The sequence below is a fragment of the Homo sapiens genome, chromosome X, assembly GCF_000001405.40.
Source record: "Homo sapiens chromosome X, GRCh38.p14 Primary Assembly".
In the NCBI taxonomy this organism is placed as follows: Eukaryota; Metazoa; Chordata; class Mammalia; order Primates; family Hominidae; genus Homo; species Homo sapiens.
Genome location: NC_000023.11, coordinates 142,209,944 through 142,234,342, shown reverse-complemented (window position 1 = coordinate 142,234,342; position 24,399 = coordinate 142,209,944). Strand labels below are relative to the sequence as shown.

The window sequence follows — 24,399 nt, the reverse complement described above, 5'->3', positions numbered from 1 at the left end:
TCTTTCCTCTTCTGCTGGTTTCTCTCTCTCTCTCTTCTTTGTCTATGTCTTCCTCTGTCTCATAAAAAAAAAGTTTAGCTTTGTTTCAAATTCAACTATCAATTATGCTCTAAGTGTTTTATATTTTCTCGTTGCCTTGCTTCAAATTCCAACACTTCTAGTTTTGAAATTTTTAAATAACAGCTAAAGCAAAGCAGAATTGCCAGTCAGACATTATTTTAATTGAATTTTATTTCTGGGAGTCAGAAGAGTTTTATTTTGTCAATATAATATCAAAAATATTGTTATGTCTTTCATAAATCTATTTTTTAAGTCAACTAATCAATGAAGGAGTAAATCAACAGTCATTTACTGACTTTATACTATACTCAGGGCATTGATTAAAACCAAATATAACCACTGACCTGGAAAAATGTATGGTCTACCAGGGAATACTGAAAAGTAAAATGATAATTTTTAAATGGTAGTAAAAGGTACAGAGTATAACCAAGTGCAATGCAAGCATGTGTTGGGGAGGTGAAAGTGAACAAAAGTCTTGAGAGGCTAGGAAACTTTTTCAGAGGAAGTGGCTACAACTGTTTTAAACTCTAGGCAGACATCTGCCCCAACCTTTACATAAACAAATGCATCCCAAAAGCAACAAGAGGAAGTGTGAATTTTTTGAGTCTGTCATGGACTTAGTTTTAGATCTCACAGAACAAAGACCTTTAAATTAAGGAGAAAAAGTACTTAAAGATCTGTGAAAGGTGGTTAATCTGCTAATTAGCATTTCAAAGGACAGTGGTAGAGGGAACAGCACGCTTAGAATCTGTGAAAGCCAGGGTGTCAAGTACTGCTTAGCTAGATATTCTTCTATCTCTTTGTGGCTGCTCAGAGGTCTATTGGAAATATATTCTGGCCATTTTTTCTACTCTGCACTCAGAGAAGCATGGCTCCTGTTACCTCGCAGGGAGTTGCTTTGCTCTGAAGTGTTTTAGTTTCACAAAGTACAAATAAAAATTGTGGCCAAATTAAAACCTTATGTAAAATTTTAAGGAAAAAATGACTTCAATGCAGGATATCAAAGAAAGTGATTATTTTTTATTTTTCAAAAAACTGAAATAGACAGACTTGTGGGTAAAAATGGTGAAAAAAGGAACTCTGGAAATCCTCTTGTCAGAGACATTCAAAATAGATTGTCTCCATCTTGAACAGGGGATGGATAAAATAAGGCTGAGACCTACTGGGCTGCATTCCCAGGAGGTTAGGCATTCTATGTCACAGGATGAGACAGGAGGTCAGTACTGTCTCACGTGTCCATGTGAAGAGACCACCAAACAGGTTTTGTGTGAGCAATAAAGCTGTTTATTTCACCTGGGTGCAGGCGGGCTGAGTCCAAAAAGAGAGTCAGCAAGCGTGGTGGGATTATCATTAATTCTTATAGGTTTTGGGATAGGCGGTGGAGTTAGGAGCAATGTTTTGCGGGCAGGGGGTGGATTTCACAAAGTACATTCTCAAGGGTGGGGAGAATTACAAAGAACCTTCTTAAGGGTGGGGGAGATTACAAAATACATTGATCAGTTAGGGTGGGGCAGAAACAAATAACCATGGTGGAATGTCATCAGTTAAGGCTATTTTCACTTCTTTTGTGGATCCTCAGTTGCTTCAAGCCATCTGGATGTATAGGTGCAGGTCACAGGGGATATGATGGCTTAGCCTGGGCTCAGAGGCCTGACATTCCTGTCTTCTTATATTAATAAGAAAAATAACATAAAATAATGTTGAAGTGTTGGGGCAGCGAAAATTTTTGGGGGTGGTATGGAGAGATAATGGGCGATGTTTCTTAGGGCTGCTTCGAGCGGGATTAGGGGCGGCGTGGGAACCTAGAGTGGGAGAGATTAAGCTGAAGGAAGATTTTGTGGTAAGGGGCGATATTGTGGGGTTGTTAGAAGAAACATTTTTGTCGTATAGAATTATTGGTGATGGCCTGGATACGGTTTTGTATGAATTGAAAAAAGAACAGAATAAGACAAGGAGAAAAACAGGTATTAAAGGACTAAGAATTGGGAGGACCCAGGACATCCAATTAGAGAGTCCCTAAGGAGGTTCAGCATAGCCCTGTCAGCCAAGATTATTTATTTACTTTAAAAGGGAGTTAAGAGTGGCGGTTTTGGGATAGCGCCAGGAGATATCAGCTGTGATGGCTTGGAGAAACAGTGTAAATGGGCAGTGTAAACAAGATTAGGGCATTTATGAGTAGTTGAGAATAGTGGATAGGAGTATGACTAGACAGAAGATAGTAGGGATGACAAGCTTTTGGGGGCACAGTCCAAGTTGGTCTGGTGTCTGGAATGAGACTGCGGCCTAACAAAAAGGAGCATCTACACAGGAGTTTAAATGGGCTGTACCTTGTAGCATTCCGAGGACAGGCCCAAATTCTGAGAAGGGCAAGTGGTAAAAGTATTGTCCAGTCCTTTTTAAGTTGGTGGTTGAGCTTGGTGAGGTGTGTTCTTAAAAGACCATTAGTCCATTCTACCTTTCCTGAAGACTGAGGACTGTAAGGGATATAAAGGTTTCACTGAATACCAAGCACCTGAGAAACTGCTTGGCTGATTTGACTAATAAAGGCCAGTCCGCTATCAGACTGTATAGAGGTGGGGAGGCCAAACCGAGGAATTACGTCTGACGGAAGGGAAGAAATGACTGCAGTGGCCTTCTCAGACCCTGTGGGAAAGGCCTCTACCCACCCAGTGAAAGTGTCTACCCAGACCAAGAGGTATTTTAGTTTCCTGACTCGGGGCATGTGAGTAAAGTCAATTTGCCAGTCCTGGGCGGGGGCAAATCCTCGAGCTTGATGTGTAGGGAAGGGAGGGGGCCTGAGAAATTCTTGAGGAGTAATAGAATAGCAGATGGAACACTGAGAAGTGATTTTCTTGAGGACAGATTTCCATGATGGAAAGGAAATGAGAGGTTCTAAGAGGCGGGCTAGCAGCTTGTAACCTACATGGAAGAGGCCATGAAATGATGATAGAATAGAATGGGCCTGTGAGGCTGGAAGGAGATATTTTCCTTGGTCCAAGAACCATTTGCCTTGTGTGGGAAGAGATTGATAGGTGGAAGTTTCAGTGGGAGAGTAGGTGGGAGTGACCAGTGAGAAGGAGAAAAACTGGCCATGAGGGACAGAAGTTGAAATGCTAGCTGCTTTTTAGCTACCTTATCAGCATAAGCGTTGCCCTGAGTGATGGGATCTGATGCCTTTTGATGGCCCTTGCAGTGAATGACTCCAGCTTCCTTTGGAAGTAAAGCGGCCTTGAGAAGAGTTTTTATTAAAGAGGTATTAATGATGAAGGACCCTTGCATAGTGAGGAAACCTCTTTCTGCCTATATAACAGCATGGTGGTGCAGGATATGGAAGGCATATTTAGAGTCAGTATGAATATTGATGGGTAGTCCCTTTGCAAGAGTGAGGGCTCGAGTTAAGGCAATGAGTTCGGCTTGCTGAGAGGTAGTGGAGGGGGGAAGAGCAGTAGCGTCAATGATAAGTGTGGAAGATACTATAGCATAGCCCGTCTTTGCTGGTGAGTGGCAATTAGGCCTAGTGGAACTGCCATCAATAAACCAAGTGTGATCAGGGTGAGGAACAGGAAAGAAGGAAACATGGGGAAATGGAGTGAATGTCAGGTGGATCAGAGAGATACAGTCATGGGGTTCAGGAGTGTTATCCGGAATAGTGTGGGAGGCCAGATTGATGTCCAGGCCAGGAACAATGGTAACTGTGGGAGACTCAACAAAGAGTGAGTATAGCTGAAGGAGCCGGGGAGCAGAAAGTATATGTGTCAGGTGTGAGGAAGAAAATAGATTTTGGAAGTTATGAGAACTGTAGAGACTGAGTTGAGCAGAGTTTGTGATTTTGAGGGCCTCTAAAAGTATTAGGGCAGCAGCAGCCACCGCATGCAGACGTGAGGGCTAGGCTAAAACAGTAAGGTCAAGTTGTTTGGACAGAAAGCCTACAGGGCGTGGTCCTGGCTCTTGTGTAAGAACTCCAACCACACAGCCCTGCACTTTGGCTGTGTGTGATGAAAACGGTTGGGCTGAGTAAGGGAGAGCTAGTGTGGAGGCAGCTTCTAGGGATGTTTTTAAGGAACAGAAAGAGGAGTGGCAAAAGGATTTAGGATCTATGGGATCAGCTAGGTTTGGTTTTGTGAGTTTATATAACGGTTTTGTTAGGATGGCAAAACCAGGTATCTAAAGGTGAAAGTATCCAACCATGCCCAGGAAGGAAAGGAGTTGTTGTTTTGTAGAAGGGGTTGGGGTTTGGGAGATTAGCAGGACACGATCAGCAGGAAGAGCATGTGTGTTTTCATGAAGAATTATGTTGAGATAGGTAATGAATGAAGAAGAAGTTTGGGCTTGACTGAAGTAATGGGGGCTGTCCGCGAAGCCTTGCGGCAGTACAGCCCAGGTAATTTGCTGAGCCTGATGGGTGCCAGGGTCAGTCCAAGCGAAAGCGAAGAGAGGCTGGGATGAAGGGTGCAAAGGAATAGTAAAGAAAGCATGTTTGAGATCCAGAACAGAATAATGGGTTATAGAGGGGTTGTGGAGGGAGGTATTGAGGATAGGAGAGTATATTGGCACCACGGGGTGGATAGGCAAGACAATTTGGTTGATAAGGCACAGATCCTGAACTAACCTGTAAGGCATGTCCGGTTTTTGGACAGGTAAAATGGGGGAATTGTAAGGAGAGTTTATAGGCTTTAAAAGGCCATGCTGTAACAGGCAAGTGATAACAGGCTTTAATCCTTTTAAAGCATGCTGTGGGATGGGATATTGGCATTGAGCTGGGTAAGGGTGATTAGGTTTTAATGAGAGGGTAAGTGGTGCATCATTTGTTGCCAAGGAGGGAGTAGAGGTATCCTATACTTGTGGATTAAGGTGGGGGGGATATGAGAGGAAGACATGAAGGAGGCTTTGGGTTGGGAAGAAGGGTGGCAATGAGATGTGGCTGTAGTCCAGGAATAGTTAGGGAAGCAGATAATTTAGTTAAAATGTCTCAACCAAAAAAGGGAACTGGGCAGGTGGGGATAACTAAAAAGGAGTGCATAAAAGAATATTGTCTAAGTTGGCACCAGAGTTGGGGAGTTTTAAGAGGTTTAGCAGCCTGGCCGTCAATACCCATAATAGTTATGGAGGCAAGGGAAACAGGCCCTTGAAAAGAAGGTAATGTGGAGTGGGTAGCCTCTGTATTGATTAAGAAGGGGATGGACTTACTTTCCACTGTAAGAGTTACCGAAAGCATCTGTGATGGTTCAGGAGGCTTCTGAGGTTATCGGGCAGCATCAGTCTTCAGCCACTAAGCTGAGAAGATCTGGGAAGGAGTCAGTCAGAGAGCCTTGGGCCAGAGTTCCAGGGGCTCTGGGAGTGGTTGCCAGGTGAGTTGAACAGTCCTATTTTCAGTGGGTTCCTGCACAGATGGGACATGGCTTAGGAGGAAGCCCAGGCTGCGGGCATTCCTTAGCCCAGTGGCCAGATTTCTGGCACTTGTAGCAAGCTCCTGGGGGAGGAGGTTCTGGAGGAACCCCTGGTAGCTGTGGTTCAGGCGTTTGGAGTTCTTGTGTGCTGGAGATGTGGCTGGGGATTGTCTCACAGTGGAGCAAGGAACTGCAACTCAGAAATACATTGCTACTTGGCTACCTCTACTGTATTATTGTACACCTTGAAGGCAAGGTTAATTAAGTCCTGTTGTGGGGTTTGAGGGCTGGAATTTAATTTTTGGAGCTTTATTTAATGTCAGGAGCAGGTTGGGTAATAAAATAAAATGCATATTGAGAATAAGACGGCCTTCTGACCTTTCAGGGTCTAGGGCTGTAAAACGTCTCAGGGTTGCTGCCAAACGGGCCATGAACTGGGCTGGGTTTTTATACTTGATGAAAAAGAGCCTAAACGCTAACTGATTTGGGAAAGGTCGGATAAAGAAAAAGGAGCATTAACCTTGACTATGCCTTTAGCTCCAGCCACCTTTTTAAGAGGAAATTGCTGGGCAGGTGGGGGAGGGCTAGTCGCAGAATGAAACTGTAAGCTGGACCAGGTGTGTAGAGGGGAGGTAATAAAAGGATTATAGGGTGGGGGAGCAGAGGCTGAGGAAGAACTGAGACCTAGCACGGCCTGGCGATGAGCAGCCTGGGGAGAAGGGGAGAGGTCAGATGGGTCTGTAGAAAAGGAAGACGAGAGGAAAGACTCAGCGACGCTTAGGGTTGGGACTGAGGGAACAGGCGGGAGGGAAAGAAGGAAGATTTGGGACGAGTTGCATTGGGAACAGAGACTAGGGAGGGACCGATGTGTAAAACTATGCCTGGACATCAGGCACCTCAGACCGTTTGCCCATTTTATGACAAGGATTATTTAGATCTTGTAGGGTGGAAAAATCGAAAATGCCGTTTTCTGGCTACTTGGAACTACTGTCGAGTTGGTACTGGGGCCGAGCCGTATTGCAGAAGAAAATAAGGCATTTAAGTTTTAGGTCAGGCAAGAGTTGAAGAGGTTTTAAGTTCTTGAGAACACAGGCTAAGGGAGAAGGGGGAATGGGGGGTGGAAAGTTGCCCATAGTGAAGGAGGCAAGTTTAAAGAGAAGGGTAGACACATAGAAAGGGTGGGGGGTGCTTGCCCCCCAGGAAAGTGGAGAGAAAAGAGAGAGTAGAGACATGGAGAGAAGGGGTTGGGGATGCTTGCCCCCCAGGAAAGTGGAGAAGGGGTGGGAGGTGTTTGCCCCCCAGGAAAGTGGAGAAGGGGTGGGTAGGGACACAGAGAGAAGGGGTAGGTGGTGCTTGCCACTGAAGATCTTCTATCCACTTCAAGAGAGACTTAAGGGTGGCGATTTGAGGTAAAACCAGGAGCCACTAAATACTAAGTTATGGCTTAGCTTGAGCTCAGAGGCCTGACAAGTGCAAGGTACAGGTCGCAAAGAACTTGCCATTAAAACAGGATGCAGTAAAGAAGCCAGCCAAAACCCGCCAAAACCGAGATGGCAATGAAAGTGACCTCTGGTCATCCTCGCTGCTCATTATAAGTGAGTTATAATGCATTTGCATGCTAAAAGACACTTCCACCAGTGCTAAGACAGTTTACAAATGCCATGCCAACGTCAGAAAGTTATCGCATATGGTCTAAAAAGGAGAGGAACCCTCAGTTCTGGGAATTGCCCACCTCTTTCCCAAAAAACTCATGAATAATCCACCCCTTGTTTAGCATGTAATCAATAAATAACTTTAAGTATTCTTAGTTGATCAGCCCATTTTGCTATTCAGCATATGGAGTAGCCATTTTTTTATTTATTTGCTTTCTTAATAAACTTGCTTTTACTTTACTCTACGGACTTGACCTGAATTCATTTTTGCACAAGGTCCAAGAACCATCTCTTGGGGTCTGGATCAGGATCCCTTTCCAATAACACTCTCATTAATAAACGCAAAGAGAACACTAACATAAATGGTCAGAATTGACATTTTCAGAACTCCATAGATTAACCAAAGGATTGGAAAAATCCAGGGAGTGTTTATTAAATGAATATGACTGAATCTAAGTAAGAAGATGAGTTTAATGGTACTGATAGATATGAATTCCAAATTTCTCGTCAAAGAATCAATATGTCCCCATGTTCAATTCTTTGCCTTCTACTTTTAAACTTAAATTCCTTGTAAAGCAACCTTTTTCGATCACCTGCTCCACTCTGACTCATTCCGATTACCTGCTCCACCCTGACTCATTCCCCACCCTGACTCATTCTGATTTCCTGCTCTGCAATAACCATTTTTCCCACCAAACCACTCACCCCGTCACTGCCTTTAAATTAGCCAATCAGAATCAGTGTAGCCTGTGCGGTCTAACCCTAACCAATAGGGGAACAACACAGCAGCAGGGGCCACGTGCATCAGGAATAAGAACCCCTTCCCCTCCCTTGCCCAGGTGTGTGCTCAGCATTGCTCCGTCTGTGAGGGCGCACCCTTCTATAGAAGTACATTGCCTTGCTGAGAAGAAAAAAAGAAAATTTTATCCTCAAGTGCTATTTCTTTTGTGGTACCGAAACTTTATTTATAACAGCATTGTAACTTGTCCTATTTCAACCCCTCTTCTCCAGCTTCGGAGTAAAATAAATATCAATAGCCTGAAATCATAGTGAAAACCAGCAGCTTGGAAGCTAGTGGGAGGGGAAAGAACAGGGTTGAAGCTACTTTAAAGATCCATTCCCAGAGGTTTGTCATTAATTGAACTATGTGGTGATTCCCTGAAAGATCTCACACCCAGTGAGATCAGATCTCACACAGTGGAAAAAGTTCTTTCCCTGAGGGCATTTGTCTGAAACCTCTATGGGTGATTGTTTAACTCCACAGCGACCTAAGGCAGTGAAAAATAATTTAGGCCAAACAATAAACAAAAAGTTTAAAGAAATAGCTGGGGAATAAGATGTACATCGGAGTTTGATAAACACTAACGTATTTATGGGGATCTAGAAGGCCATACATGTACATAGGTGTATGTGTGCATGCTCAGAAGACACTTAAGAAGACCCTAAACTCTCACATCTTATTACTATGAGTCTCTGAGTACAAGCAGGAATTCAAGGCTAAAGCAGATTTGTAAACTACCTAAGTGGAGAAGTCCCAGCCAAATATGCACACTGAGTACCTCATCAAAGACTGGGGACTTGTTGGTTGCAGGCATTTTAAACACCTGTTTTCAATTATTGGGTGATCACTAAGCTAACTGAGCAGAAACTTCAATACCTACACATAACAAAGAATATAAATCTTACAAAATTAATTCAGAAATGTCAATAAAGAAACAACAAAAATCTTGCAGAGAAAGTAGAATCTTGTTGTCAAATTCGTGACATCTTATTACTTAAAATGCTACATTTTCAACAAAAATTATGAGACACAAAAAGAAACCAGACAGTATGGCCAATACATAAGAAAAAAGTTAAAAAATCTATAGAAACGGTTGCTGAGGAAACCCAGATGTTGGACGTTCTAGACAATGATTTTGAGCCAGCTATTTAATCTATATGCAAAGAAGTAAATAAAACCATCCCTAAAGACCCAAATGAAAGTATGACAGAAATAACTCATGAAACAGAGAACATTTAAAAAGAGATAGAAACTATTTAAGAAAAAAAATCAGACACTCTGGAGTTGAAAAACAAAATAATTAAAATAAATTCACATAAGGCTCTCAGAAAAAAGAAACAGCAGAAGAAAGCCTGTGAACTTGAACATGGGAAAATTGAGATTGTAAAGTTTGAGGGAGAGAAGGAAAACAGAGTGAAGAAAATAAACAGAACCTCAGAGATCAGTGAGATACAATCATGCAGCATAACACTGGGAGTTGCACAAGAAGAAAGATAAATTAACAGAGTATTTTTAAAAAAGGCCCAAAACACTAAAAATTTAGTTAAAACAATCAATCTTCACATTAAAGAGGCTCAAAAAACTACAAGTAAGATAATCCCTAAAAGATCCACACCTAGAAATTTCATTAACATAATGTAAAAGGACAAATAGATAACATGCAAAGAAACAACTCAGGACATAAAAGGAGGCTTCAACATTATTAACAGCTGATTTTCATTTGGAAACCAAAGATGTCTAAAGGCACTGGGATGACTTGTTCAAGATGCTGAAAGAAAACGGCCACCAGCTAAGAATACTATATCCAACATAGTATCCTCCAACATTGAAGTAGAAATAAAAATATTCCCAAATATTTTTTTTTAAACTGAGAGAATTTGTTGCTAGCAAATATGTCAAACAAGGAACATTAAAGTGAGTCCTTCAGGATGAAATGTAATGGCGCTATACAGTAAATCAAATCCACATGAAGAAACAAAGAACACCAGTAAAGGTAACAACACAGGTAAATATAAAAGACAGTATACATGTAGATTTTGTTTGCAACTTTTAAAATTCCTTATGTGATTAAAAGACAGCTTGATAAAGCAATAAATATAAATCTGTATTGATGTGTACACTGTATATGAAGATACAATTTGTATGTCAATAAATTCATGAAGGAGGAGAGGAAATAAAGCTATGCAGGGGTAAAAATTTTGCATACTATTACAGTTAAGTTGGTATTAATCCAACTAGATTATTATAAATTTACATTTCAATTATCATCCTCAAGGCAATCACTAAGCCTATATATTGATTGGGAACAGAATATTATCACAATATCAATTAACCTTAAATTCTTTATAAATTTAGTATCTTACCTGTAGCTGCCAAGATGATAATCAAGTTCAGGCTGTGGTCTTCTGCTCCTAAAATCAACCCTGGAGAACTGTAGAAGGGAGAAATTTATTATGTGTGTATATATACATATATATATATATATATATATATGCATGTGTGTATGTATACATATCTATATATATACACACACACGTGTGTGCATGTGTGTGTGTATATGTACAGCAAAATCAAAACAATAAAGCATGAGAAACTCCTCCAAGAAACTGGACACTGTGTTGAACTTGTGTTTGTGGTGGGAGAAGTGAGATGCTGCAATAAAGTTAGTGAGAGTACTTACACTACAGAAGAAAGCATGAGACAGGATAGGTAGGAGGAAAGTTTTCTTATTTCTTCCCCTGATTGATTTCAAAGATAAAGACAGAATCTGAGACTCAGATGCCAGTAGCCATTGGGTAATACCAGAACGTCAAGAAAGATTTGGTTGTTTCAAGCAGTAAGACTCCAGAGACTATAATAATAATAATTTCAAACTATTTTAGTGGTTAAGTATCTGTCTTAAAAAAATTTTAAATAAAAAAGAATAGAATAGAAATATTGGAGTGAAAAATGCATAGAGTGAGTATATATGTTTATACATATATAGGTATGTATATATGTACATATAGGTATGTATATATGTATATGTATATATACACACACACAGAAGGTCACTGAAATACAATATTTGGACATATAACTCCATATGAATATATATATATAATCTATACATATAATTGAGATGTAAAAAAATGAAATAAATCACTGCATCACTGAGCTGAACTGTATGCAATGTTAGACCGTCTACCGTCTCAGTAGAAGTGATAATAAAGCAATGTTCTTCAGACCCTTTTTAAAAAGAGGAAATTTAGCCACCACCATGGCTTTGAGAAAGGGTAAGTAACAACTTTAAAATCATATTCTGATTCAGGAATTTAGGACTGCAAGAGACTAACCCATAGGTTAAATGGACCCCCCACATAAGCCCGAAGCCAGCTAGTGGTCTGCGAAACAACATTTGAGAACCACTCGTATAGCATAAGTCAAGCTTACCCAACTGGGATGTATGAGGCCCAGGACAGCTTTGAATGTGGCCCAACAAAAATTTGTAAGCTTTCTTAAAACTTTATGAGGTTTTTTGCAGTTTATTTTTTTAGCTCATCAGCTATTGTTAATGTTAGTGTATTATATGTGTGGCCCAAGACACAACGTGGCTCAGGGGAGCAAACAAAGAGATTGTACACCCATGGGATAAGTAATAAAGAAAAAAAAGCAGCCACCCTTGAGTATTTTCTATGTGAGAGACACTTAATATACAGACTGCTATGTAAGCTTAGGAACAAATCTGAGAAGAAGTACATTTATGACAATTTCATCTCTTGAAAATATGACGAAAATGAGATAAAAAGAGATTAAATAACTTCCCTAACTTTACACACTTAGGAATAGGAAGTCAGGATTGCCAGCCAAGTCTCTATGAACAGTAGATTCAGTGCTTCTTGTCCTTTTCTTAACTGTGAAGATCTGGTATAGCCTATGAACCCTTCTAAGAATAATACTTGTAAGTATATAAAATAAAATACATCAGATTCCAAAGGAAAAATAATATGTATATTTTATTTTAGTTATTTAAAAATAAATGTAGGATATAGTAACATGTGCTTCTTTAGTAATGTTTTAAATAACAAGATCTAGGGACAGATCAAATAACTACTGCACTTCCAAAGTAACAATGAAAGTGAATAATATTTTGAGATATCTGTAATACCAGTACAGCTATATGAAAATGCCTATAATTTCTACTGAAGACAAAAATCACACATTTGCTAATATGATTGCTTAGTTGCCTATATTCATATTGGAAGGAAATGCTGAACTTCAAGTAAATGTTAATAAAACAAAGATGTATGCCCTTTTCCTCACCCCAGTTAAGGACCTCTTTGAATTCCATCCACAGATCCCAGGATAAAAACTCATGCTCTAGAGTTATCCTTTTCACTAGGATGATACATGGCCTTCAACTAGAAAGAGTAAACCCTAGTAGTCTGTTTGCTTATAACTGATATTCTATGACTTTCACCAGCATATTTTAAAAACAGAAAGCAATGCGACCTTGTCAAACCAATATATGAAAAACTGGGCATTAAATCGATACTTGCCCAAAGCACTGTTTTCAAGAAGATGCATTCCATTCCCATGGGTCATTTTGGTGTTTGTGCTTAAACCGTTTAGACCACCGTTCTGTCTCTTAACTAGTCTTTAATTTGATCTCTTTGAGTATTTCTCTTCTTTCCTCAGTTGCAGTTGCCAAATCTCCGTCATTCTTCTGAAGTCCTAGTCCACCTCACTCTCAGATTCTAGTTAAGAAGCTCTGGGCCCCTCTTACTTCACTTTGCAAGTTTAAGTCCTCCATGTGATTTTCACCCCTCTGCCTTCTCTTTCTGCTCTCCTTTTCTACCATTCTTCTTATGTCATCAGATTCTTTGGCTCTTCTTTTTTTTGAGACGGAGTCTCTCTCTGTCGCCCAGGCTGGAGTGCAGTGGCGCGATCTCCGCTCACTGCAAGCTCCGCCTCCCGGGTTCACGCCATTCTCCTGCCTCAGCCTCCCAAGTAGCTGGGGCTACAGGTGCCCGCCACCATGCCCGGCTAATTTTTTGTATTTTTTAGTAGAGACGGGGTTTCACCGTGTTAGCCAGGATGGTCTCGATCTCCTGAGCTCGTGATCCACCCGCCTCGGCCTCCCAAAGTGCTGGGATTACAGGCATGAGCCACAGCGCCCGGCCCTTTGGCTCTTCTTAAAATAATTCTCAACCATCTATTTTTCAAAATAATAAAAAATTTCCTTGGATTAATCCACACTCTCAGGATAAAATCCATGAAAAGAAAAACCGTGCTTTCTTTTCACTAATTTTCTGATGCAGACCTCCTCCTGACCCTTTTGAAATGTGACTTCTATCTATCCGCATTACTCTACTTATATTGCTCTACTGAAGTCTCTGAAAACTTTATAACTTCCAAGTTCAACATCGTTCACTGTCTTTTCACTTTCCTGGGATTGTCTGCATTATTTTGTACTGCTCTTCTCAGCTGGTTCCTTCCCCTTCCTTAATACTCTTTCCCTCCTATTCAATGAGACGTTTTCTTTCTCCCTGTCCTACTTATGAATCTCAAAATAGAAACAGTGTAGTTGAAGCTGTGTGAGACAATAATAATGAATAAAAGGAAAAACTCAAAATATCCCAGATCCTGTTTAAATATATATATACACATTATATTAATATAGAACTTATGAATATAGTACCACATCCTATAAACATGGAACTCTCTGAGGTTTTGTATGAGAATACAATGTTGCATGTATGTATGCATGTATATATAAAAATTTAATATATAACATATGTTATACATAGTTACATATAAAGATAATAAATATATATCACATTAAATATACATTTTTATGTATAATATATAAATGTAGTTATACATGTATATATATTAATTTTTAGAGATGCATTTATATATGTTTGCATAAATGTGTGTGTGCGTACACATCTAATCCTCACAACAGCCATATGAAATATATGCAATTATTTTCTCAGTTTTATAGATACAGAAACTGAGGCACAGAGAGACTGGCCGACTTGCCCAAGATCACAGAGCTGGTAAACTGTTGAGCTAGGATTCAAACTGGTGTATTTTGAGTAAAGGTCCCGTGTCTGTAACCATATTACTCTACACTGTAGGTTCAGTTACCAGAGAGAGGACATAGCAATAGAGATTGCAGATGACCTGCCATGCATCCCAGACATTGTGTCTCAAACTGAAGCCATCTTTTTCCTGAATAACACAGGCCTTCAGTGAAGACCTATTTTATGGTGAAACTTTCGTGATCTGACAGGTTGATAATTTTCCCAGGTCCAAGTTTTAACATCATTTGAGAGCTTTTTTTCTGTTCTCCTGGTCAGATACAAGCAGTGGTAATATATTTTGCCACTTCTGCCTCCTTCCCTTTTTCTCTAATGTTATTCCAGGTCAGGCCCATGCTTTCTCACTCCTGGACTACAGCAACAGCCTTCTATTTAGACTCTTTTCGTAGAAAATCAAAGAGAAAACAAAAGGAAAAAAAATCCCAGAAGAGGAATGAGAGAGAGAGAGAGGAGAGAGAGAGAGAGAGAGAGAGAGAGAGAGAGAGAGAGAGAACTTTGCTTATAGTGACACAGGGATAAGAATTACAGAGGACCTTTTGTCAGAAATCATGCAAGCAAGAATAGAGTAAAATGTAATATTTAAAGTGTTGAAAGAAAAAGAAAACACAAGCCTAGAAATTTATACACAGCAAAACTCTCCGTCAATAGTAAAATAGAAGTAAAAACTGTCTAAAACAAAACCCATAGAAGAAATAAGAGAATATACTTGTTTACACCCAAATAGTTTTTGGCAAAGGCACCAAGAAATTCATTAGGGAAAAGATAGCCTCTTCAATAACTTGTGCTGGGAAAACTGAATATATATATATATGAAGAAAAATGAAACTACACAACCTATCTCTCACCATATACAAAAATCAACTCAAACTGGATTAAAAACTTAAATGTAAGATTCAAACTAGAAAACTACTACAAGAAAGCAGAGAAGAAATGCTTCAGGAAAAATGTCTTGGCAAAGCTTTTATGGATAAGACTGCAGAAGCACAGACAACCAGGACAAAAATAGACAAATGGAATTACACCAAACTAAAACCCTTCTACATAGCAAAGAAAATAATCAGCAGAGTGAAGAGACAATCTTCAAAATGGGAGAAAATATTTTCAAACTATCCATTTGACAAGGGATTAATAAAGAGTATACATAAAATACCCACACATTTCAACAGCAACAAACCAAATAATACAATTGAAAAATAGGTAAAGAATCCGAGTAAATATTTCTTGAACGAAGACATCCAAATGGCCAATGGTATATGAAAAAAAATATGAAAAAACACTCAACATCACTAGTTATCAGGGAAATTCAATTCAAAACAACAACGAATGTCTATTATCAAAGAAAAACACATGCACCTGACTATGTGGAAAAAAATGGAAACTCTTATATTCTGTCCAAATTATATTATTATGTGGGAAACAAAAAAAACACACTCATAAAAAACCACTGAAAAGAGATTTTTAAAAATGATGAGCTATTCCATTTTCATGATTTAGGAGTCCCAATGTTGTTAGTATGTCATCTGCTCCCAAATTTCTTCATAGATTCAATGAAATTCCAATCAAAATTCCAGGAAGTTATTTTTTAGACATCAAAATACTCTAGAGTTTACATGAAAAAGCAAACAGTTAGAATAACCAACATAATATTGAAGTAAAAGAACAAAATTACAGAGCTCACATCACCCAATTTATCATGTTTATGTGTTGGTATATTTTAAGTTCTCTCTTCTAGCTATTTTTAAAACTACAATACATTGTTTTTAAATATAGTCACCCTACTGTGCTATTGAACACCAGAACTGATTCCTTCTATCTAACTGTAGGTTTGGACCCATTAACTAACCTCTCTTCAATCTCAGCCCCCTTGCCATGACAATTCTGAACCTCTATTAACTGTCATTCTATTCTCTATCTCCATGAGATAAACATTTTTAGCTCCGACACATGAATGAGAACTTTATCTTTCTGTGCTTGGCTTATTTCATTTAACATAATAACCTTCAGTTTCAACCATGTTGCTGCAAAAGACAGGATTTTTTTTTTCTATGCACGAATAGTATTTCATTGTGTATCTGTACCACATTTTCTTTATCCATTTATTCATTGATGGACACTTGGATTGATTCCACATCTTGGCTATTGTGAATAGTGTTGCAATAAACACGGAGTGTAGGTGTTCCTTCGATATAGTGATTCAGGAACTTTCATTCCTTGTTGGTTGTAATAAAAAAATAATATAGCCTCTTGGAAGATAGTATTGTATGATTCTGTTTATAGCATATTCTGGAAAAAAGTACAACTATAAGTACACCAAAAACCACAGGGTTAGGGAGTGAGGAGGGTATACTATTTTACTACAAAGGGGACACACTGGGGAATTTTAGGCTGATGGAAATGTTTTGTATGATTCTTGGGTGGTAGATATAGGAATCTATACATTTATTAAAATACATACAACTTTCATGTTGCATGTTACAGTAAACTTTCATGTATGCAATTTTTAAAAAATCAACCAGGGATTACATTTTTAAATGGATCCCTGACTCCTTTGAGCAGAATGGGTTTTACAAGGGTAAATCTGGAAAAAAGAGGCACCAGTAAGGAAGCTATTGCTATAGTTTATTTGAGAGATGATGGTAGCTTCATCACAGCAGTGGTAATGAAAATTGACTGAAATGGATAGATTTGGAATGGATTTTAGAGGTTAATGGAACAGAATCCTTTGATGGATTAGATGGAAGTAAAGGAAAGGAGAGGAATAAAGGTCATCAATAAAAATCTTGCCACCTTTCATATTAATAGAAATAAATTAAGCCATGATTAACTTTTTCATAGATTACTGTGAGAATTTTTTTGTATTTTCTAACCTCCAATTCCAAGACAGATTTCTGGTTGGTGTTGTGCTGGAAAAAGAGGAGTTCACCCTACCATCACTGGAATCTCCCTAGCCAAAATGCGGAAGGAGGTAGGCCTCTACTTCCATCACCTGTGGGCAATCTGTCACCACTTCCCAGTCAGGAAAGTGTTCTTGGGCCTGTTCAAGGTGTCTGTAGTCAGAACAACGTTACCCTGTCATGCTTTCCTGGAACAGTATTGTCCACGTTATATTTCTTGGATCCCCAGAGCTCCAAAGATCATCATCCCAACTGGTAGTTTGGGAGGTCATTGGCCTCATATCATTGGCCCAGGTTGCTTTGATCCCAAATCAGCACTAAGTTTTTGCTTTTGCTCTTTGAAAATGAAGATTCATAAAGGTAGTAAGGCCATCTATGTATGAGAATAAGGTCAAGAGGAGCTGCCAATTCCCCTCTTCCTCCCCCATACATCATCTCCACTCCTTCTGTTACTGACTTGACTGATTGGAATCAGTGCCCCAGATGATTCCAATCCTTCCTCATGCAGCATTGTTGATCCCCTAATTGGCCCATAATGGTGACTTCCTTTTATTTCATTTGTATAAATTTATGAGGTACTAATGCAATTTTGTTACATGCAGAGATTTAATAGTGGTGAAATAAGGGCATTTAGGGTATTCATCACCCGAATAAGGTACATTGTACCCATTAAGTAATTTCACATTATCCATCTTCTCCCGCTCTGTTCCCCTTCTAAGTCTCGATTGCCTGTTATACTACACACTACATCCATGGGTACACATTATTTAACTCCTATTTATAAGTGAGAACACAATACTGGCTTTCTTCATGATAGAATATAAGAAAGTCCACTTTGCTTTTCTATATAATTTTATGTAGGTTTTAAATTTTTTATGATAAACACGTTATTGTCACAATCTAGTATAGGTACATAAGAAGGTGTTTTGGGTGACTCCTTATTAGTTTCCAGTGGTCTGTTTCTCAACGCCTGTGCCTAAACCACAAAATCCCATTATAACTTTTTAGTAATCCCTACTCTCTGGTAAAGTTGCTGCTTTTAGATTCTATTTTCTCAAGAGTGTCTTGGCTATGCTCGACCATAGGCATAACTTTAAATTTTAGAATCATCATATTAAGTTTACACACACATTTGCATACAAAGTTTGGTTCCTTAAAATTGGCATTGCAATCAAACTGTAGATAAATCTTCAGGAGAACTAACATATTTACAATATATGTGTTAGGCTGTTCTCACATTGCTACAAATAAATATCTTGGACTGGATAACTTTAAAGAAATAAGGTTTCATTGGCTCACAGTTCTGCAGGCTGTACAGCAAGCATGATGCTGGCATCTGCTTGACTTCTACAGAGGCCTCAGGAAACTTACAATCATGGTGGAAGCTGAAGGTGAAGAAGACACATCACATGGCCAGACAGGAGGAAAAGAGAGAGAAATGAGTTTCTACACGCTTTTAAATGACCAGACTGAGTTCAAGCTCACTATTTTGAGAACAGTACCAAGAAGATGATACTAAACCATTTATGAGAAATCTGCCCCCACGATCCAATCGCCTCTGACCAGGCTCCACCTCCAACATTGGGGATTACACGTTGACATGAGATTTGGGTGAAGACACAGATTCAAACCATATCAATAGGGAATTTTAATATCTATGTACATATATAGTTTTAAATTATTGTAGGGGAGAAGAGTAGAGTTAAATGATGGAGTAGAAGGCTCCAGTAATCATCTCCCCTGCAAGGATACCAATTTAACAACTATCTGCACAAAAAAAGTACCTTCATAAGAACCAAAAATCAGCTGAGCACTCACAGTACCTGCTTTTAACTTTGTGTTGCTGAAAGAGGCATTGAAGAAGATAGGAAAGAGTATTGGATTACTTACATCACTGCTCCCACATCTCTAGGCAGTGGCTGTGTGGCGTGGGGAGAATCTGAGTGCTTGGGAGAGGGTGAGCACAACAAATGTGAGACAATGCATTGAATTCAGTGCTGTCCTGTCATAGCAGAAAGCAAAACTAGGCTGAACCCCACTGATGCCTGCACACAGAGAAAATATTTAAACCAGCCCTTTCCAGAGGGGAATGGCCATCCCAACAGCTGGAACTTGAGTTCCAGCAAGCCTTGCCACCATAGGCTAAAGTGCTCTGGGGCTGTAAATAAACTTGAAAGGCAGTCCAAGCCACAGGGACTACAACTCCTAGGGGAGTCCTATGGCTGAATTGGGACAAGAGCCAGTGGCATTAGGGGGAATGCAAGCTATTGAGACATCAGCTAGGATGGCTAAAGGAGGGCTTGCTCCACTCCTCCCTCAAATCCATGCTGCACAGCTTGTGGTCCCAAAAGAGATCCCGTCCTTCCACTTGAGGAGAGTAGAGGGAAGACCAAATAGGACTTTGTCATGCATCTTGGATACTATTTCAGACACAGTAGAATAGGGAATTGGGCAGAGTCATGAGGCCCCCATTCCAGGCGCAAGTTCCCAAATGACATTTCAAGACAAACCCTGGTCCAGAGGAAACCAGCAAAGGAAAGGATCCAGTCCTGGCAGGATCCACCACCTGCTGAGTAAAGGTGGTGAATGGGTTCTGAATGACCAGCAGCATTACCCAGGTAGTACACCATAGGCCTTGAGTGAGACTCTGAGACTTGCCAGCTTCAGGTGAGACTCAGCACATCCACGGCTGTGGAGGCTACGAGGAGAGAATGCTTCTGCTTGAGAAAAGCAGAGGGAAAAGTAAAGGGATCTTTGTATTACACCTGTGGTATCATCTTGGCCAAAAAGAGGTAGAGCACCAAACAGGAGCTCTAAAACCAAACAGGAGCACCAAACAGGAGACCTTAGGGTCTCCAATTCCAAGCTTTGGCTCTTGAACAGCATTTCTAGACAGGCCCTGGGCCAGAAGGAAGCCCACTTCCCTGAAGAGTGAGTATCAGGCCAGGCAGCATTCACTGCAAGCTGACAGCAGAGCCCTTGGGCCTTCAGGGAAAATCAGCGGTAGCCTGGCAGTCGGGGTAATGGCCATGAGGTGAGGCTCCCTTGCCTACGAAAAAGGTATGGAAGAGTGGAAAAGGCAGTGTCTCATGGTTTGAGTCCCAGTTCAACTGCAGTACAATAAAACACCAGGAAGATTTCTAAGGTATTTGCTTTTAGTTCCTGGATCCCAGGTGGCACGTCTGGACCTGCCCTGGTCCTGTGGGAACTCACCACCGTAAAGGGAAGGACACAAGTCTGGCTGGCTTTGCTACCTGCTGATTGTAGACCACAGGGCTTTGAGAAAATATAGGCAATAGCCTGGTGTGGTTAGAGTGGGCCTTGGGCAAGACCCAGTGCTGTGCTAGCTTCAGATCAGACCCAGCACAGTCCTAGTGATGGTGGCCAGAGGGGAGCTTGTGTCACCCACCCCCAGCTCCAGGCAGCTCCACACAGAGAGACTTCATTTGGTCGGGAGAAAGATGATACCCCTAAGAGTCTGCAAAAACCCCAGTGCTACTGGCCTTGGGGTGCACCTAATGCAGATATGGCCTAGATCACAAAACCCCAGTTCTTTCAAATATCTGTAAAGCCTTCCCAGGAATGATGGATACAGACAAGCCTAGACTGCAAAGACTGTAATAAATATCTAACTCTTCAGTGCCCAGACACAGATGAACATCCATAAGCATCACAACCATCTATGAAAACATGACCTCAGCAAATAAACTAAATAAGACACCCAGGGACCAATCCTAGAGAAACAGAGAAATGTGATCTTTCAGACAGAGAATTCAAAATAGCAGTTCTGAGAAAACTCAAAGAAATTTAATATAATAAAAAGAAGAAATTCAGAATTATATCACATACATTTAACGAAGCAATTGAAATAATTCAAAACAATTAATCAGAAATTCTGGAGTTGAATAACACAACTGACATACTGAATAAGGCATCGTTTTTTTATAAGCAGAATTGATCAAGCAGAAGAAAGAATTGGTGAGCTTAAAGAAAGGCTATTTGAAAATACAGTTAGAGGAGAAAACAAAAAAAGAATAAAACAACGAAGTACACCTACGAAGTCCAGAAAATAGCCACAAAAAGGACAAACCTAAGAGTTACTAGCAATAAAGAAGAGGTAAAAGAAAGAGATAAGGGTAGAAAAAGTATTCAAAGAGATAGTAACAGAGAACATCCAAAACCTAGAGAAAGATGTGACTATCCAAGTACAAGAAAGTTATAGATCACCAAGCAGATTTAACCCAAAGACTACACTACCTCAGTGCATTTAATAATCAAACACCCAAAGGTCAAGGAAAATAAAAGGATCCTAAAAGCAGCAGGAGAAAATAAACAAATAACATATCTCAGAGCTCCAACGTGTTTGACGGCAGTCTTGTCCGTGGAAATCTTACAGGCCAGGAAAAAGTGGCAAAACATATTAAAGTTCTGAAGGAAACAAACAAACAAACTTTTACCTTAGAATAGGACACATGGTGAAAATATCCTTCAAACATGAAGAAGAAATAAAGCCTTTACCAAACAAAGAAAAGCTGAGGGATTTCTTCAACACCAGACCTGTCCTACAAGAAATGCTAAAGGGCGTAGTACTTGGATCAGAAAGAAAAGAATGTCAATGAGCAACAAGTAATCACCTGAAGGTACAGAACTTACTAGTAATAGTAAGTACACATAAAAACACAGAATAGTATTACACTGTAACTGGTGTGCAAACTACTCTTATTCTAAGTAGAAAGACTAAATGATGAGCCAGTCAAGAATAATAACAACGACAAATTTTCAAGACACAGACAGTAAAATAAAATGTAAATAGAACAAACAAAAAGTTAAAAAGCAAGGGGATAAAGCTAAGGCGTACAGTTTTTATTAGTTTCCTTTTTGCTTGTTTGTTGGTTTGTCTATGCAAACAGTGTTGTTATCAGTTTAAAATAACGGGTTATAAGATAGTATTTGCAAGCCTCATGTTAACTTGAAATAAGAAAAATGGATACACCATTCTCCTTTTCCTAATGTATACTCTTGACACCTGTGTCAAAAATGAATTCACTATAGATGCATGGATTTATATCTGGGTTTTCCATTCTGTTCTACTCATCTATTTTTGTCTGATTTTATGTCTGTACCATGCTATTTTGGTTACTATAACTCTGTAGTATAACTTAAAGTCAGGTAATGTGATTCCTCTAGTTTTGTTCTTTTTGCTTAGGATGTCTTTGGCTATTCTGTGTCTTTTGTGGTTCCATATACATTTTAGGGTTGTTTTTACTATTTTTGTGAAGAATGTCATAGGTAGTTTTATAGGAATTGCATTAAATATGTAGATTGATTTGGGTAGTATGAACATTTTAACAATGTTGATTCTTGAAATCCATGAACATGAAATATTTTTTCACTTCTTGCTTGTCTTTTTCAATTTCCTGCATGTTTCATAGTTTTCATAATAGAGATCTTTCAATTATTTGGTTAAATTAATTCCTAGGTGGATAGTAGTGAAAAAATAATTTAATTGAACATTTAAAGTAAATAAAAGAGTATAATTGGATTGTTTGTAACACAACGGATACATAATTGATGTAATGTATACCCCATTTACCCTGTGGTAATTATTACCTATTTCATGCCTGTATCAAAATATCTCATGTAACCCATAAAAATATACACCTATAATGTACCCCCAAATTAAAAATTAAAATTAGAAAAACCCTAAATTTATGTAGGGGTTCATCAATTCTTCAATAAATGGTGCTGAGAAAACTGCATATTTGTAAGCAGAAGATTGAAACCATGTACTACTATCTCTTGTTATATACAAAAATCAAATCAAAATGAAGTAACCACTTAAATATAAGACCTCAAACTATGAAACTACTAAAAGAAAACTTTGGGGAAACTCTCCAGAACATGTGACTGGGCAAAGATTGTTTCAGTAATACCCCATAAGCACAAGCAAGCAAAGCAAAAATGGACAAATAGGATCACAACAAGTTAGAAATATTCTCCACAGCAAACAGTAAACAAAGTGAAGATGCATCCCACAGAATTGGAGAATATATTTGCTAATTACCTATCTGACAAGGGATTGATAATTAGAATATACAAGGATATATAACTATATAATAATGGCATAGGAAAAAATCTATAGGAAAAATCTAATAATCTGATTAAAAATGGGCAAAACATCTGAATAGACATTTCTCTAAAGAAGGCATACAAATGGCAAACAGGTATATCAAAAGGTACTCAACATCACTGATTAGAGAATTGCAAATAAAAACTACAATGAGATTTCTCATCCCAGTTATAACAGTTTTTATCCAAAAGTCCAGGAATAATGAAACGGGTAAAGTTTCCTTATCCCCATTGCAGGGCAAACGATGAGGGCGTCGCTCATTTCTTAAGTGCCCCGCTGCTCAAACCTCTAGGAGAGCATACAGACTGTCAGTCTGTGGGGCTCCAACCCCACAGCAGTGTCTAGGGGTGAATATTTATAGCTGAAGTCCCAGTGGACATGTGTTACAGGGTTCTTTTTAGTTTAGCTATCCATAGACGGCTTATGATAGCTCAATTAGACTCCTGCCTCATTGCAAGGATGGGGCTTTCTGTACCCCGGGGTTCTTGCCTTGGTGTACTGGAAGAATCGGATTACACGAGGGCTTGGAAAATGAGTGCAAGGTTTTATTGAGTGGAAGTAGCTCTCAGCAGATGGGGGAGCCAGAAGGGAGATGGTTTTCCCTTGGAGTCAGGCCGCTCGGCAGCCTGGGCTCTCCTCTGACTGCCCCAACCAAACTCCACCTCATTCTCCTGGTCAATAGCTTGCTGGTGGGCCCGTGTGTGTCATGTGCTCTTCGGCTGGCATGCTCCCCTCGATGTCCTCTCAATGTCCAGCCACTTGTGTCTTCTTCTGCAGATGTGTTTCTCTCCATGTCCAGCCGCTTGTGTGTCTGCCTGCTAGGGTCTTGGGGTTTTTATAGGCACAGGATGGGGACATGGCAGGCCAGGGTGGTCTTGGGAAATGCAACATTTGGGCAGGAAGAAAGACATGACTGTCCTCACCTAGGTTGCTGGGCACAGGCCCAGGAGTACAGCCCTAGCCAAAGACCATGCCCTCCTCTACCCAGCACTTCCCTGCCCCGCTTCAGTATCAGTAACAAATGCTTGTGAGGATTTGGACAAAAGGGAACACTTGCATACTGTTGGTGGGAATGTAAATTAGTACAGCTGCTATGGAGAACAGTTTGGAGGTTCCTCCAAAAACTAAAAATAGAGCTATCGTATGATCCAGCAATCCCATTGCTTGCTATACACAGAAAAGAAAGGAAATCAGTATATTGAAGAGATATCCGCATTCCCATGTTTATGGCAGCACTGTTCACTACAGTACATATACACAAGGGAGTAATATTTGGCCATAAAAGAGAAGGAGGTACAGTCATTTGCAGCACATGAACAAAACTATAGGTCATTATGTTCAATGAAATAAGTCAGGCACAAAAAGACAAACTGTATATTCTCATTATTTGTGGGAGCTAAAAATCAACA

General features: G+C 39.6%; 1 annotated feature.

Moving 5' to 3' along the window:
- Positions 404 to 1,195: an enhancer, noted in NCBI's record as "OCT4-NANOG hESC enhancer chrX:141320934-141321725 (GRCh37/hg19 assembly coordinates)". NCBI's record gives its function as "activates a minimal SCP1, AML or CMV promoter by ChIP-STARR-seq in naive and primed H9 embryonic stem cells {active_cell/tissue: H9 hESC(naive and primed)}" and the evidence as "EXISTENCE:reporter gene assay evidence [ECO:0000049][PMID:30033119]".